The sequence below is a fragment of the Homo sapiens genome, chromosome 19 (assembly GCF_000001405.40).
Source record: "Homo sapiens chromosome 19, GRCh38.p14 Primary Assembly".
Lineage (NCBI taxonomy): Eukaryota > Metazoa > Chordata > Mammalia > Primates > Hominidae > Homo > Homo sapiens.
Genome location: NC_000019.10, coordinates 11,785,340 through 11,798,426, shown reverse-complemented (window position 1 = coordinate 11,798,426; position 13,087 = coordinate 11,785,340). Strand labels below are relative to the sequence as shown.

Here is a 13,087-nt window from a genome sequence, read left to right as displayed (position 1 = left end):
CAGAGCCCGGCTGATTAATCCTAGCTACAGCCTTTCTAAGGCTAAGCTCACTCCCTGCGCCCTGGTCGTTGGCTATCTGCATTTCAGCCAAACTTGCTACTTATTGTTAGAAGGGGCACTGTTAGCTTCCTCGATCTTTCAGAAATGTGTGCTGGGAATTCCAGACTCGGTGTTCAATGGAGTCATTCCTTTGCCTCATAGCAGGAAGGAAATCCAGGCCAGGCCAGGCCAGGCAAGACTGCACCAGGAGGGAGAGGCAGGTGTCCTCTACAGGGCGGGAATTGGGGATGAGACTTCCTCACACTCCCCCCGTCCCACCCCTGAATATGGAACCGCTTCCTCCCCCTAGACTTCATTTTCACCAGCAGAAGTTCTCACCTGGGGTCAGTTTAAGCTTCTAACCTAAGTAAACTATTACCTTCACAAACCCTTTCTCCAGGTGACATGTCAGACAAATCTTACTGAGCCTGATCTTCACAGATTATCTTTGTATGTACAAATTACAGTCTGTCGCCGGGACCCTTTGCACGTAAAAACCAAACACTGCCCCCGCAAAACGTCCCTAGGCTCTAGGTACAGCCCCAGTAAGGACAGAACCTCCCCCCAACCCCCCTACACAAAGTGCACCTGCACGTGAGTCTCCTGCTTTCCAGGGCTCTGTAGCTTCTCAGGATCCACATTCCTTCCGCAGCTGTTCTGAGCAGCTGGAGGCCACCTGCAGTAGAGGGCAGGCTGCCCGGGAAACACCCAGGGGAGCTCCCTTTCCCTCCCTTTGCCGGCTCCAGACTGGCCTCAGCAGGGTGTCACTGGCCTTAGGCTCTGCTGCCCCCTACAGGTTATTCACTTCATTGATCGGTTACCTGAGACAAACACCCTCAGTTCCACTGTACGTATGTATAAAGTGGGGAAGGAAAATTCTAAGATAATTGAAGTGAATTAAAAGACTTGCAGGCAGGGTGCGGGGGCTCACGCCTATAATCCCAACCCTTTTGGAGGCTGAAGCGGGAGGACTGCTTGAACCCAGGAGTTCATCATCCTGGAAAACGGAGCCACACCTCGTCTGTACTAAAAATTTAAAAATTAGCAGTGCGTGGTGTCCTGAACCTGTAGTCCCAGCTACTCGGGAGGCTGAGGTGGGAAGATCTTGAGCCCAGGAGTTTGAAGCTTCAGTGACCTATGATCTCGCCACTGTGCTTCAGCAAGAGTTGTGATAGTTGTATCAGATAAAATAGACTTTAAATAAAAAACAGTACAAAAAGACAAAGAAGATCATGAGATACTGATAACAGAATCAATTCAGCAAGATAATATAGTAATACTAAATATATATGCATCCAACATTGGAGAGGCCAAATTAATAAAGCAAATATTTCTAGACCTAAAGAAAGATATAGATAGCAATACAATAATAGTATGGGACTTCAGCACCTCACACACAGTAGTAGATATATCATCAAGACAGACAATCAACAAAAAAATTGGACTTAAGTTGGACTTTGGACCAAATGGAGCTAACAGACGTTTACAGAACCCAACAACTGCAGAATATACATTCTTCTCATCAGTACGTGAAACATTCTCCAAGGTAGACCATATGTTAGGCCACAAAACTAGTCTCGACAAATTTTAAAGTCAAAATCATTTCAAGCATCTTCTCAGACTGCTGAATAAAACTAAAAATCAATACCAAGAGGAACTTTGAAAACTGTATAAATACATGGAAATTAAACAATGTGCTCCTGAATGATCTCTGAGTCAAAGAAGAAATAAAAACAGAAAATAAAAATTTTGTTTGAAATGAACAAAAATGGCAACACAACATATCAAAACCTCTGGGATATAGGAAAAGTCATGCTAAGAGGGAAGTTTATAGAATTATATGCCTCTGTCAAAAAAGTAACAAATTAACAACCTAACATGGTACCCCATGGAACTAGGAAAACAAGAACAAAACAAATCCAAAGTTGGCAGAAAAGAAATAACAAAGATCAGAGCAGAATTAAACAAAATCAAGACTAAAAAACAACACAAATGATAAACGAAACAAAAAGTTGGTTCTTTGAAAATATCAACAAAAGTAATAAACTGCTGGCTAGACTAACCAAGAAAAAAAAGAAGATTCAAATGAACAAAACCAGAATTGAAAAAGAAGACATTACACCAATACCACAGAAATACCATCAGAGACTACTATGAACAACTATATGCTCACAACCTAGAAAACCTATAGGTTTTTTTGAAACGTATAACCTCCCAGGATTGAACCAAGAAGAAACAGATATCCTGAATAGACCAATAATAAGTAGCAATATTGAATCAGCAATAAAAAAATTCCCAAAAATGAAAGCTCTGGGCCAGACAGATTTATACCAAAATTGTACCAAATAGGCCAGATGTGGTGGCTCATGCCTGTAATCATAGCACTGTGGAGCCTGAGACAGGAGGATTGCTTGAGGCCAGGAGTTTGAGACCACCCTGGCCAACATAACAAGATCCCATCTCTAAGTAAAAAAATAAAAATTTAAAAATCAACATTAAAAAAATTATACCAAACATACAAAAAGAACTATACTAATAATCCTGAAACTGTCCCTAAAAATCACAGACAAGGGAAATCTCCCTAACTCATTCTATGAGGCCAGTAACATCCTAATACCAAAAACAGACAAGGACACAACAACAAAACTACAGACCAATATCCCCGATGAACACGGATGTGAAAATCCCCAACAAAACACTAGCAAACTGAATCCAACCGCACATTAAAAAGATAATACAGCATGATAAAGTAGGTTTTATACCAGGAATGCAAAAATGGTCCAACACACACAAGTTAATATATGTAACACATCACAAAAACAGAATGAAGAATAAAAACCATATGATCATCTCAATAGATTTAGAAAACACACTTGATAAAATTCAGCATCCTTCATGATAAAAGCTCAAAAAACTAGGTACAGAATGAACATATCTCAAAATAATAAAAGCCACACATGATAAACACACAGCCAACATCATACTGAATGGGGAAATAGTTGAATGATAAAAACTAGAACAAGATTAAGGATGCCTACTTTCACCACTCTTATTCAACCCTAGTATAGGAAGTCTTGGCCAGAGCAATCAGGCAAGAGAAAGAAATAAAAGACATGCAAATTGGAAAAGAGGAAGTCAAATTATTCCTGTTCAGTGATATATAATCTTACATCTAGAAACGCTTAAGACTCCACCAAAAATCTCTTAGATTAGTTAAATTAATTCAGGAGTTTCAGGATACAAAGTCAGTGTACAAAAGTCAGCAGTGTTTCTATACAGCAACAACAATCTAGCTGAGAACCAAATCGAGAAAGCAATACCACTTACGAGAGCTACCAAATAACACCCCACCCCACATGGGAATATATTGCACCAAGGAGGTGAAAGGCCTCTACAAAAAGAAAAAATCTATAAAACACTGATTAAAGAATTACAGATGACACAAACAAATGGAAAAAACATTTCATGCTTATGGAAAGAACTAATATCAGAAGAATTAATTTCATTAATTATTCAGAAAGAATTAATATCATTAAAATGACTATACTTCCCAAAGCAATCTACAGAGTCAATGCAATTCTTATCAAAATACCAATGTTAGTTTTCACATAATTAGGAAAAACAATCCTAAAATTCATATAGAACCAAAAAAGTGCCCGAATAACCAAAGCAATCCTAAACAAAAAGAACAAAGTTGGAGGCAATGTTACAGGACAGGGGTCCCAATCCAGACCCCAAGAGAGGGTTTTCGAATTTCCTGCAAGAAAGAGTTCAAGGCAAGTCTGCAGTGCAAAGTAAAAGCAAGTTTATTAAGAAAGTAAAGTGGTGAAAGAACAGCTACTCCCCAGAAAGAGTTGGATGTTTCTGTAAGTAAGAGGAGGAACGCATCCACCCTAGGTACAATGATGCTTGTATATATGGGCAGATGTGCTCTGCTATAAGGGTCCATGATAAAGGATTAATTTTCTTAATTACTATATTTTGCAAGAATTGATATTATTATCTTTAAAGCAAAATTAGAAATGCCTTTGTTCTCCAGATATTGGGATATCTGGACACTACCAAGTCTGGGTCTTGGTAAACATTATTAATTTGTTCCTTTAACTGTAAACACCTAGAAGCGAGGTATGCCTAACTTTCTGGGAATGAAGCCCAGCAATTCCCAGCCTCACTTTCCTAGCCCTCAGAATGGAGTCGCTCTGGTTCGAATGCCTCTGACAGCAACACATTACCTAACTTCAAGTTATACTACAAGGCTATTGCAATCAAATCAGCATGTTACTGGTATAAAAATATACACAGAAATAAATGAAACAGAATAGAGAACCTAGAACAAAATCCACATATTTACATCCAACTGGTTTTTTACAAAGTCAACAAGAACATACATTGGGGTAAGGACACCCTTTTCAATAAACAGTGCTGGGAACACTGGATTGCCATACGGAGAAGAATGAAGCTGGACCCTGATCTCTCTCCATATACAAAAATCAATTCAAAATGTACTTAAATGTAAATCCCAAAACTATAAAAATACTAGAAGGAAATCTAAGGAATTCTCTTCTGGACATTGGTCTAGGCAAAAAATGCCGGATTAAGACCTCAAAAGCACAGGCAACAATAACAAAATAGACAAATGTGACTTAAGTAAATGGAAAAGCTTCTGCACAGCAAAATAAATAATCAATAAAGTGAACAAATAACCCGAAGAATGGGAGAAATTAATTGCAAACTATATATTAACAAAACACTAATATCCAGAATATACAAGGAACTCAAACAACTCAACAACAACAAAAACAACCCCATTAAGAAGTGGTAAAGGCTGGACATGGTGGCTCACATCTGTAATCCCAGCACTTTGAGACGCCGAGGTAGGCGGATCACCTGAGGTCAGGAGTTTGAGACCAGTCTGGCCAACATGGTGAAACCCCATCTCTACCTAAAATACAAAAATCAGCCGGGTGTGGTGGCAGGTGCCTGTAATCCCAGCTACTCAAGAGGCTGAGGCAGGAGAATCACTTGAACCTGGGAGGTAGAGGTTGCAGTGAGCTGAGATCATGCCACTGCACTCCAGCCTGGGTGAGAGACTCTGTCTCAAAAAAAATAAAAAAAAAAAGTAAAAAGTGGTCTAAGGACATAAATAGACATTTTTCCTTCCTTCCTTTCTTTTCTCCCTCCCTCCCCCTTTCTTCCTTCCTTCTTCCTTCCTTTCCTTTCCTTTTCCTTTCCCTTCCTTTCTTTCTTTTCTTTCTCTCTTTCTTTTTCTTTTCCTTCCTTCCTTCCTCTCTCTTCTTTCTTTCTTTTCTTTCTCTCTCACTCTTCTTTCTTTCTTTCTCTCTTTCTTCTTTCTCTTTCCTTTCCTTTCTTTTTTCAGAGACAGTGTCTCCCTCTGTCACCCAAGCTAGAATTCACTGGTACAATATTAGCTCACTCAAATTCCTGGGCTCAAGAGATCCACCTGCCTCAGTCTTCTGAGTAGCTGGGATTACAGGCACATGCCATGACACCCAGTTAATTTTTTTTTTTAAGAGACAGGGTTGGGCCGGGTGTGGTGGCTCACGCCTGTAATCCCAGCACTTTGGGAGGCTGAGGTGAGCAGATCATGAGGTCAGGAGTTCGAGACAAGCCTAACCAATATGGTGAAACCCCATCTCTACTAAAAATACAAAAATTAGCCAGGCATGGTGGCACGTGCCTGTAATCGCAGCTACTCAGGAGGCTGAGGCAGGAGAATCGCTTGAACCCAGGCGCCGAAGGTTGCAGTGAGCTGGGATTGTGCCACTGCACTCCAGCCTGGGCAACAGAGTGAGACTGTATCTCAAAAAATAAAAAAAAAAAGAGAGAGAGAGACAGAGTCTCACTATGTTGCCCAGGCTAGTCTCAAACTCCTGGCCTCAAGCAATTCTCCTGCCTTGGCCTCCCAAAGTGTGGGAATTACAGGCGTGAGCCACCATGCCCAGCTGATATTTTTCAAAAGAAGACATACAAAATAGTTAACAAGCATATGAAAAAATGTTCAGCATCCCTAACATCAGAGGAATGCAAATTAAAGCCAAAATGAGATACCATCTTACGCCAGTCAGAATGGCTATTATTAAAAAGAGGAAAAAATAACAGATGTTGGTGAGGATGCAGAGAAAAGGGAATGTTTATATGCTGTTGATGGGGATGTAAATTAGTACAATCTTTATGGAAAACAGTATAGAGATTTCTCAAAGAACTAAAAATAGAACTACCCTTTGATCCAGCAATCCCACTATTGGGTATCTACCCAAAAAACAAGAAATCATTATTTCAAAAAGCTACCTATACTTGTATGTTTATCACAGCACTATTCACAATAGCAAACAGATGGAATCAACCTAAGTGTCCATCAATAGATGATTGGATAAAGAAAATGTGTTATATATACACAATAGAATACTATTCAGCCATAAAAAGAATAAAATTATATCTTTTGCAGCAATATGAATAGAAGTGGAGGCCCAATCTTAAGTGAAACAACTCAGACATAGAAAGACAAACACCGCGTGTTCTCACATATAAGTGGGAGCTAAGTAATGTGCACACATAAACATAGAGTGTGAAATAATAGACAGTGGAGACTTAGAAGGGTGGGGAGTGGGAAGGGAGGAGACAATGAGAAATTACTTAATGAATACAATGTACTTTTTTCCAGTGATGGATACACTCAAAGTCCTGTCTTCACCACTATGCAAATATATCCATGTTACAAAATTACACTAGTACTACATAAATTTTTTCTTTTTTTTGGAGATGGAGTCTCGCTCTGTCACCCAGGCTGGAGTGCCATGGTGGGATCTCGGCTCACTGCAATCTCTGCTACCTGGGTTCAAGTGATTCTCCTGCCTCAGCCTCCCAAGTAGCTGGGACTACAGGCGCCACACCCGGCTAATTTTTTTTATTTTACTAGAGACGGGGTTTCACCGTGTTGCCCAGGCTGAACTCCTGAGCTCAGGCAATCCACCCACCTCAGTCTCCCAAACTGCTAGGATTACAGGGGTGAGCCACTGTGCCTTGGCCTTACATAAACTTATATGAATAAAATTTACATTTTTTTACTTCCTTTTTTATTTTTAATTTTGTGGGTACATAGTAAGTGTATATATTTATGGGTTACATGAGATATTTTGAAAGAGGCATGCAGTGCATAATAATCACATCAGGGTAAATGGGGTCATCACCTCAAGTATTTACCCTTTGTGTTACAAACAATCCAATTATACTCTTTTAGTTATTTTAAAATGTACAACTAAATTATTTTTTACTATAGTCAGCCTGTTGTGCTAACAAATACTAGGTCTTATTCATTCTTTCTCTTTTTTTTATATCCATTAACCATTCCCATTCCCCACCCCCTCTACCCTTCTCAGCCTTTGATAATCATCCTTCTACTCTCTATCTCTATGAGTTCAATTGTTGCAATTTTTAGCTCCCACAAATAAGTGAGAACATGTGAAGTTTGTCTTTCTGCACTTGGCTTATTTCACTTAACATAATGACCTTCAGTTACATCCATGTTGTTGCAAATGACATAATTTCATTATTTTTATAGCTGAATAGTATTCTATTGTGTATATATAACACATTTTCTTTATCCAATCATCATCGATGGACACTTAGGTTGATTCCATATGTTTGCTATTGTAATAAATAAATATGGGAGTGAAAATATCTCTTTGATATACTGATTTCCTTTCCTTCTCTTTGATATATTGATTTCCAATCCCACCCAGCTGTGGGATTGCTGAATTGTATGGTAGCTCTATTTTCAGTTTTATGAGAATCTTCCAAACTGTTGTCCATAGTGGTTGTACTAATTTACATTCCCACTAACAGTGTACAAGGGTTCCTTTTTCTCTACATCCTCACAGCATTTGTTATTGCCTGTCTTTTGGGTAAAAGCTATTTTAATTGAGGTAAGATGATATCTCATTGTAGTTTTGATTTGCATTTCTCTGATGATCAGTGACGTTGAGCACTTTTTTATATGTCTGTTTGCCATTTGTATGTCTTATTTTAAGAAATGTCTATGCAGATCTTTTGCCCATTTTAAAATCAGATTATTACATTTTTTTCTATAGAGTTATTTGAACTCCTTATATATCCTGGATATTAATCTATTGTCAGATAGATAGTTTGCAAGTGTTTTCTCCTATTCTATGGGTTGTCTCTTTGTTGACAGTTTCCTTTACTATGTTGTTTCTTTTTTAACTTGATGTGATCCCATTTGTTCATTTTTGCTTTCATTGCCTATGCTTGTGGGGTATTACCTAAGAAATCTTTGCCTACTCCAATGTCCTGGAGACGTTCCTCAATGTTTTATTTCAGTAGTTTCATGCTTGAGGTCTTGGGTTTAAACCTTTAATCATTTTGATTTGATTTTTGTATATGATGAGAGATAGGGGTCTAGGTTCTTTTTCCTGCATATGAACATTCAGTTTTCCCAGCACCATTTACTAAAGAGACTGTCCTTTCCCCAATGTACATTCTTGGCACTTTTGTCAAAAATGAGTTCACTGTAAATGTATAGATTTATTTCTAGGTTCTCTATTCTGTTCCAGTGGTCTATGTATCTGTTTTTATGCCAGGACCATGCTGTTCTGGTTACTATAGCTCTGTAGTATAATCTGAGGTCAAGTAATGTGATTCTCCAGTTTTGTTCTTTTTGATCAGGATAGCTTTGGCTATTCCAGGTCTTTTGTGGTTCCATATAAATTTCAGGATTATTTTTTCTATTTCTGTGAAGAATGTCCTTGGTATTTTGATAGGAATTGTATTTAATCTGTAGGTTGCTTTGGGTAGTAGGCACATTTTAACAATATTTATTCTTCCAATCCATGAACATGGAATATCTTTCCATTTTTTGTCCTTTTCAATTTCTTGCATCAATGGTTTATGGTTTTCATTGTAGAGATCTTTCACTTATTTCTTAGGTTAAATTAATTCCTAGGTATTTTATTTGTAGCTATTGTAAAGAGGACTTTCTTGATTTCTTTTTCAGATTGTTTACTGTTAGCATATAGAAATGCTATTCATTTTTGGCTTTTTAATTTTTATTTTTTTTCTCCCAGTGATCCTTGTTCTGAAAGAAATGCTACTGATTTTTATATGTTGATTTCGTATCCTGCAACTTTACTGAATTTATTGGTTCTAGTAGTTTTTTTGTGAAGTCTTTAGGTTTTCCCCAAATATAAGATCATGTGATCTGCAAAGAAGGATAATTTGACTTCTTCCTTTCCAGTTTGGATGCCCTTTATTTCTTTCTCTTATCTGATTGCTCTAACTAGGACTTCAAGTACCAAGTTGAATAACAGTGGTGACAGTGGGCATCTTTGTCCTGTTCCAGATTTTAGAGGAAAGGCTGTTTTTCTCCATTCAGTATACTAGTTGTGGGTCTGTCATATATGACTTTTTATTATGTTGAGGTATATTCTTTTTATACTCGGTTTTTTTGAAGGTTTTTTTTATCATAAAGGGATGTCAAATTTCATCAAATGCATTTTCAGCATTATTAAAATGATCATATAGTTTTTGTCCTTCATTCTGTCAATATGATGTATCACATACTATCCTTGCATCCCTGGGATAAATCCCACTTGGTCATGATAAATTATCTTTTTGATGTGTTGTTGAATTCGGTTGCTAGTATTTTGTTGAGGATGTTTGCATGAATATTCATCAGGGATATTGACCTATAGTTTTCTTAATGTGTCTTTGCCTGGTTTTGGTATCTGGGTAATACTGGACTCAGAATGAGTTTGAAAGTATTCCTTCCTCCTCTATTTTTTTTTTCTTGAGGTGGAGTATTGCTCTTTCTCCCAGGCTGGAGTGCAGTGGTGTGATCTCAGCTCACTGCAACCACTGCCTCTCAGGTTCAAGCGATTCTCCTGCCTCAGCCTCCTGAGTAGCTGGGATTACAGGCACGTGCCACCGCACCTGGCTAATTTTTGTATTTTTAGTAGAGACGGGGTTTCACCATGTTGGTCAGGCTGGTCTCGAACTCGTGTCCTCGTGATCTGCCTGCCTCGGCCTCCCAAAGGGCTGGGATTACAGGTGTGAGCCAGCGCACCTGGCCTCCTCCTCTATTTTTCAGAATAATTTGAGTAGGATTGGTATTAGTTCTTTAAATGTTTGGCTCATGCCTGTAATCCTAGCACTTTGAGAGGCTGAGGTAGGTGGATTGCTTGAGCCCAGCAGTCTGAGACCAGCCTGGGCAACACTGCAAAACTTTGTCTCTATAGAAATTAGTTGGGCATGGTGGCATGCACCTGTGGTCTCAGCTACTCAGGAGGCTGAGGCAGGAGGATCACCTGAGCCTAGGAGGTCAAGGCTTCAGTGAATCATGATTGCACAACTGCACTCCAGCCTGGGCGACAGAGCGAGACTGTCTCAAAAAAAAAAAAAAAAAAAAAAGAGTGGACATGGTTTAGTTTGAAAAGTCCTTTGGTAAGTTCAAGCCAAAGGCTGAGGGCTATTTAAAAACATTAGTCATGGAGTGGCAGAAAATTGTTTTGTTGTGAATTAGCAAACTGAATGTTGATCACATAAATTGGGTCATTCTTGCCAAACTCAACTATAAGAGTCAACAGGCCAAGGGGGAAAAGCACTCAGGGCACGTACCAATGCTCCAAGCATGTCATTCTCTGCCAAGCTGCTGAAACAGCCAGTTGTATCCTGAAACCGGTTTTATCTAATAGTTACTGAAACAACTTGCTGTGGCTCTAAGAATAGTTTTACTCATTGCCATCATTTCCCGATCAGAACTTTCCAACTCCCAAAAACCTTACTAGTGCCAATGAACTTTCTTGAAGAACCATATGTAACACTTCTCCTTTTCATGAAACCTCCAATGTTCTCTGTTTTTAAGACATACCAAAGACCACTTGGTCTGTGTGTATGCCCTGAATTACAAGTATTTCTTCCCAAATAAAATGTTTTAATTTCAGAAATTCATCTTTGACATATCTGGCTTTCTGACATTAGACACTTCCATGAGTCTACAGTCCCTTTTCTTCAGTTCTACGAACCAAAAAGCTCTGACAACTCTATTTTGTAAGGTAGGCATGAACCTGACATCAAGAAATAAGAGGCTATTTATTGGCTGTTTTGTTCTGTTTCAAGTATTTACTCATTTTGTTGTAGGAATATTAATGAGTTTGATCTCAGAGTGCTGTTTCAGTTTCTACTGAGAACACTACATTATCTATGATATATTAATTATCTCAGCTTCTTACAGATGAAATAACAGGCTCAAAGAGGCGCAGTGACTTGCCCAAGGTTGTTTCACATCTAGAGAGAGTAAAGAGTAGAATTGAGGTCTTCTGCCCCCTTCACTTGTTTTTTGTTGTTTTTTCCTCATTGCACTGTACTGCTTCCTCATGATATACCTCTGAAGACCATCTTGATAAATTCTTCTGTGTGGAAGAGTTTAAGCAATCACATTCATCTTATTTGACATTTTCTTCTATTTGAGACAGGGTCTCACTGTGTCACCCAGGCTGGAGTGCAGTGATGCCATCACGGATCATTGCAGCCTCAACCTCCTAGGCTCAAGCAATCCTCCCACCTCATCCTCTGGAGTAGCTAGGACTACAGGTACATGTCACTATGCCTGGATCATTAGAAAGAAAATTTTTTTGGTAGAAATTAGGTCTTGGTATGTTGCCCAGGCTGGTCATTCATAGGTGTTTAAAGTGTGATAAATGGATGATTTAAGTCTGATAGAACTTTTACACATATTATACATTTAAGCATATACACATGGAAGCTCCTGGGAGTTGGTTATGTTTACATGGTGGAAAAAAAACCCTTCAAAATAATTATTAGTTTGAGAAAAATACATCAATAAATAATTTCTACGTCAACACATTGTTTTTTGTTGTTGTTGTTGTCGAGATGGAGTCTCGCACTGTTGTCCAGGCTGGAGTGCAGTGGCGCCATCTCGGCTCACTGCAGGCTCCACCTCCTGGGTTCATACCATTCTCCTGCCTCAGCCTCCCGAGTAGCTGGGACTACAGGCGCCCGCCAACACGCCCAGCTAATTTTTTGTATTTTTAGTAGAGACGAGGTCTCGCCGTGTTAGCCAGGATGGTCTCGATCTCCTGACCTCAGGTGATCCACCCTCCTCGTCCTCCCAAAGTGCTGGGATTACAGGCGTGAGCCACCGCTCCCGGCCTTGTCAACACATGTTATATGTAAAAAAGCTAATCAAATGTGAGCTTCCAACAATTCCCTCTGCTTCATTCTTCTGACTTTCAACAGATCATGGTTAACACCAAGGGCTCTGTGTCTGAGGTTTCACATGTTTACGTCACCTATTTTAAATGGTCTCAACCTCACTCCACCACCACTGACCCATCAAATCATTTCCGCAGCTAAATCCGAAGTATTCTGTAAATAGCTTTCCCTTTCAAGGAGTCTAACTGGACTCAGGTTGAACTCCCTTGTGGCTCTCTCATGTTCCTTGATTTATTCATTTGAAATTGTCTTCCAGAGCCGGGCGCGGTGGCTCATGCCTGTAATCCAAGCACTTTGGGAGGCCGAGGCGGGTGGATCACGAGGTCAGGAGATCGAGACCATCCTGGCTAACACGGTGAAACCCCGTCTCTACTAAAAATACAAAAAATTAGCTGGGCGTGGTGGCGGGCGCCTGTAGTCCCAGCTACTCGGGAGGCTGAGGCAGGAGAATGGTGTGAACCCGGGAGGCGGAGCTTGCAGTGACCCGAGATCACGCCACTGCACTCCAGCCTGGGTGACAAAGCGAGACTCCGTCTCAAAAAAATAAATAAATAAATAGTCTTCCAGGAGAGATTGTGATATACTAAGTGAGGACCTCATCCATTTTATTTGCTTCTCTTCTCCCTAACCTGCTACACTACTTCTTCATTGAAGGCACAGAATATTTTAAACTGACCATCACTTGCTGTAAATTCTGGAGATCTCAGCACAATTCAGAAATCCACACCCTAAAGGAGTTATGTGTGGATGTTAATGCCATCCTCACCACGAGAGGGAGTTCGTT

The 13,087-nt window shown here is 39.5% G+C and overlaps 2 annotated features.

Annotated features, from left to right (window-relative positions):
- Nucleotides 138-649: an enhancer, noted in NCBI's record as "H3K4me1 hESC enhancer chr19:11908593-11909104 (GRCh37/hg19 assembly coordinates)". NCBI's record gives its function as "activates a minimal SCP1, AML or CMV promoter by ChIP-STARR-seq in naive H9 embryonic stem cells {active_cell/tissue: H9 hESC(naive)}" and the evidence as "EXISTENCE:reporter gene assay evidence [ECO:0000049][PMID:30033119]".
- Nucleotides 743-912: a silencer, noted in NCBI's record as "silent region_10131". NCBI's record gives its function as "represses an Ori minimal core promoter by ATAC-STARR-seq in GM12878 lymphoblastoid cells {active_cell/tissue: GM12878}" and the evidence as "EXISTENCE:reporter gene assay evidence [ECO:0000049][PMID:35858748]".